This window comes from Homo sapiens, chromosome 4 (genome assembly GCF_000001405.40).
Source record: "Homo sapiens chromosome 4, GRCh38.p14 Primary Assembly".
Classification (NCBI taxonomy): Eukaryota; Metazoa; Chordata; class Mammalia; order Primates; family Hominidae; genus Homo; species Homo sapiens.
This window is the reverse complement of record NC_000004.12, coordinates 75,311,760-75,315,664: the sequence shown is the minus strand read 5'-3', so window position 1 is coordinate 75,315,664 and position 3,905 is coordinate 75,311,760. Positions and strand designations below refer to the sequence as shown.

General features: G+C 43.3%; 1 annotated feature.

Annotated features, from left to right (window-relative positions):
* Positions 1,436-2,635: an enhancer, noted in NCBI's record as "MED14-independent group 3 enhancer chr4:76238240-76239439 (GRCh37/hg19 assembly coordinates)". NCBI's record gives its function as "activates an origin of replication core promoter dependent on BRD2, BRD4, P300/CBP and CDK7 cofactors, and independent of MED14, by STARR-seq in HCT116 cells {active_cell/tissue: HCT116}" and the evidence as "EXISTENCE:reporter gene assay evidence [ECO:0000049][PMID:35650434]".

Below are 3,905 nucleotides of genomic sequence, written 5' to 3'. Positions count from 1 at the left end.
ATACAGCACACTGATGGGTTTTGACTCTATGCACTTTGCCAGTCTGTGTCTTCTAATTGGAGGATTTAGCCCATTTATATTTAAGGTTAATATTGTTATGTGTGAATTTGATCCTGTCATTGTGATGTTAGCTGGTTATTTTGCTCTTTAGTTGATGCAGTTGCTTCCTAGCATTGATGGTCTTTACAATTTGGCATGTTTTTGCAGTGGCTAGTACCAGTTGTTCTTTTCCATGTTTAGTGCTTCCTTTAGGAACTCTTGTAAGGCAGGTCTGGTAGTGACAAAATCTCTCAGCATTTGTTTGTCTGTAAAGGATTTTATTTCTCCTTCACTTATGAAGCCTAGTTTGGCTGGATATGAAATTGTGGGTTGAAAATTCTTTTCTTTAAGAATGTTGAATATCGGCCCCCACTCTTCTGGCTTGTAGAGTTTCTGCCAAGAGATCCGCTGTGAGTCTGATGGGCTTCCCCTTGTATGTAACCTGACCTTTCTCTCTGGCTGCTGTTAACGTTTTTTCTGTCGTTTCAACTTTGGAAAATCTGATAATTATGTGTCTTGGAGTTGCTCTTCCCGAGGAGTATCTTTGTGGTGTTCTCTGTATTTCCTGAATTTGACTGTTGACCTGCCTTGCTAGGTTGGGGAAGTCCTCCTGGATAATATCCTGCAGAATGTTTTCCAACTTGGTTCCATTCTCCCTGTCACTTTCAGGTACACCAATCAGAAGTAGATTTGGTCTTTTCACATAGTCCCATATTTCTTGGAGACTTTGTTCATTTCTTTTTATTCTTTTTTCTCTAAACTTCTCTTCTTGCTTCATTTCATTCATTTGATCTTCATTCACTGATACCCTTTCTTCCACTTGATCAAATTGGCTACTGAAGCTTGTGCATTCATCACGTAGTTCTTGTGCTATGGTTTTCTGCTCCATCAGGTCATTTATGGACTTCTCTACACTGTTTATTCTAGTTAGCCATTCATCTAATCTTTTTTCTAGGTTTTTAGCTTCTTTGCAATGGGTTTGAACATCCTCCTTTAGCTCGGAGAAGTTTGTTATTACCGATTGTCTGAAGCCTTCTTCTCTCAACTCGTCAAAGTCATTCTCCATCCAGCTTTGTTCTGTTGCTGGCGAGGAGCTGCATTCCTTTGGAGGAGAAGAGGTGCTCTGATTTTTAGAATTTTCAAATTTTCTGCTCTGGTTTCTCCCCAACTTTATGGTTTTGTCTACCTTTGGTCTTTGATCATGGTGATGTATAGATGGGGTTTTGGTGTCTATGTCCTTTCTGTTTGTTAGTTTTCCTTCTAACAGTCAGGACCCTCAGCTGCAGGTCTGTTGCAGTTTGCTGGAGGTCCTCTCCAGACGCCGTTTTCCTGGGTATCACCAGTGGAGGCTGCAGAACAGCAAATATTGCAGAATGGCAGATGTTGCTGCCTGATTCTTCCTCTGGAAGCTTCATCTCAGAGGGGCACCGGACTCTATGAGGTGTTAGTCAGCCCCTACTGGGAGGTGTCTCCCAGTTAGGCTACTTGGGGGTCAGGGACCCACTTGAGGAGGCAGTCTGACTATTCTCAGATCTCAAACTCTGTGCTGGGAGAACCTCTACTCTCTTCTAAACTGTCAGACAGGGACGTATAAATCTTCAGAAATTTCTGCTGCCTTTTGTTCTGCTATGCCCTGCCCCCAGAAGTGGAGTCTACATAGGCTGGCAAGCCTCCTTGAGGTGTGGTGGGAGATTCCTGGCTGCTTTTTTTACCTACTCAAGCCTCAACAATGGCGGATGTCCTTCCCCCAGCCTCACTGCCGCCTTGCAGTTCGATCTCAGACTGCTGTGCTAGCAGTGAGTGAGGCTCCACAGGGGTGGAAGTCTCCAAGCCAGGTGTGGGATATAATCTCCTGGTGTGCTGTTTGCTAAGGCCTTTGGAAAAGTGCAGTATTAGGGTGGGAGTGTCCCAATTTTCCAGGTACCATCTGTCATGGCTTCCCTTTGCTAGGAAAGGGAATTCCCCGACCCCTTGTTCTTCCTGGGTGAGGTGAGCCCCACCCTGGTCCGTTGGCTGTACCCACTGTCTGACAAGCCCCAGTGAGATGAACCCGGTACCTCAGTTGGAAATGCAGAAGTCACCCGTCTTCTGTGTCACTCATGCTGGGAGCTGTAGACTGGAGCTGTTCCTATTCAGCCATCTTGGAACCTCCAGATAAAGGTTTTAAACAGAGATATCTGGGTGAAGAAAAATATCTGAGAGTTGTTGATATGTGGATAGTAATTGAATCTGTGAGGTAGGGTGAGTCTGCCTAGAGGAAGGGTGTTAAATAAAGAGGTAAAGGGCTTAGGAAAGAGGAGGGCCAACAGTTTAAAAGACTGGAGGAGTAGGAACAGTAAAGGAGGAGACAAATAAAAACCAGATAAAGGGGGAAACATTTTAGAACCCAAAAACAAGAATCTTTTTCTCATAGAAGCTACTCATTGAGAGTACTTCTCCTGAGAGATCAGGAAAAAAAATGGTTGAAAGTTGCCCATTGAATTTTACAACCTCTAGGTGATCATTGATGGCCCTGGTGAGAGCAGTTTTGGTGTCATGGTGAGGTCAGAAGTGGTCTGGGGCAGGTAGAGAAACTGGTGGAGACAGCATGCTGCTCTTCAAGGTCCTAGAGCCCACTCCCCAGAGCCCATGCCTCACTAGGTGCAGGGGAGATGGGTGGTTAATGGATGTGGGTGAGCATGAATTGTGGCAGCTGTGTTTCTGGAGGAGGGCTGTCATGAATTTTCCTGTTGGCTGTTATAATTTTTATAGGGGTAATTTGTTTTGCTTTGTGACTTTTTAAGAATTTGCACTAAAAGAAAAATGAGAGGCTTTCCAGGGACAGCTTCTTTGACAGCCCAGCAGCACCACACACATCCTGAGAAAGTTAAGGCTTAAAGGGGATGAGAAAAATTTACAGGAAATTTATTAGTTGTGTTTCAAGCTGTGCACAGTGCAACAGACTAACAGTATATTAATATCTTCCTGGGAGGCTGCCATTCACCTAGCTGCAGAATTATGGAGATAAAAATGGTCTGTGAAATGAGAAACTCACTCAGGATATATAGTGGGGCTGTTGGAAGAAATGACCCTAACACTCATGACAAACTTCTGGCTTTTTACAGAGAATAATTCTTCAGAGAAGCCAGCCTATTCTTAAAAAAGTTGCTGAGGAGCAATGCTGCAGGGCTCACATAAGAGTAATTGTGACACTGTCTTGTCTGAACAAATGGGAGTTGCTGACCTGGGAAGGTAAATATAGATGCCCCTAGAATTAGGAGAACTGACAATTTCAATTTAATTTTTTTCTTGACTTTGGTGGACACCATGATTTTTTTTCTTGCATATTTCACTTTCTAATTGTGTTTCCCTCAACTTAACATGAAAATAAACTTGCTTCATCAAAGTACACCTGTTTGGATTGAGTGCAAAGCACCCAGGAACTTCTGAAGGATGGAGAGAATCCAATTTGGGTTGTTTTAATTTTCCTATGGAGATTCTACAACAAGGAAAATCCATAGGCAGATGATCTATAAATGACTGTGCAGTGGGTGGAGTAATCCAGGTCTTTTAGCCTGTTCTTGCATTGCTATAAAGAAATACCTGAGACTAAGTAATTTATAAAGAAAATAGGTTTAATTGGCTCATGGTTCTGCAGGCTGTAAAAGAAGCATGGTGCCAGTAACTACTTCTGGTGAGGGTGTCAGGAAGCTTATAATCACAGTGCAAGGCAGAGGGGGAAGAGATGTGTCACATGGTGAAAGTGGAAGTGAGAGAGAAGGAGATACTTCCACACTCTTTTAAACAACTGTATCTCGTGTGAACTCAGAGTGAGAACCCACTGTCACAAGGAGGGCACCAACCCTCCTTGTAATTCAGAAGATATC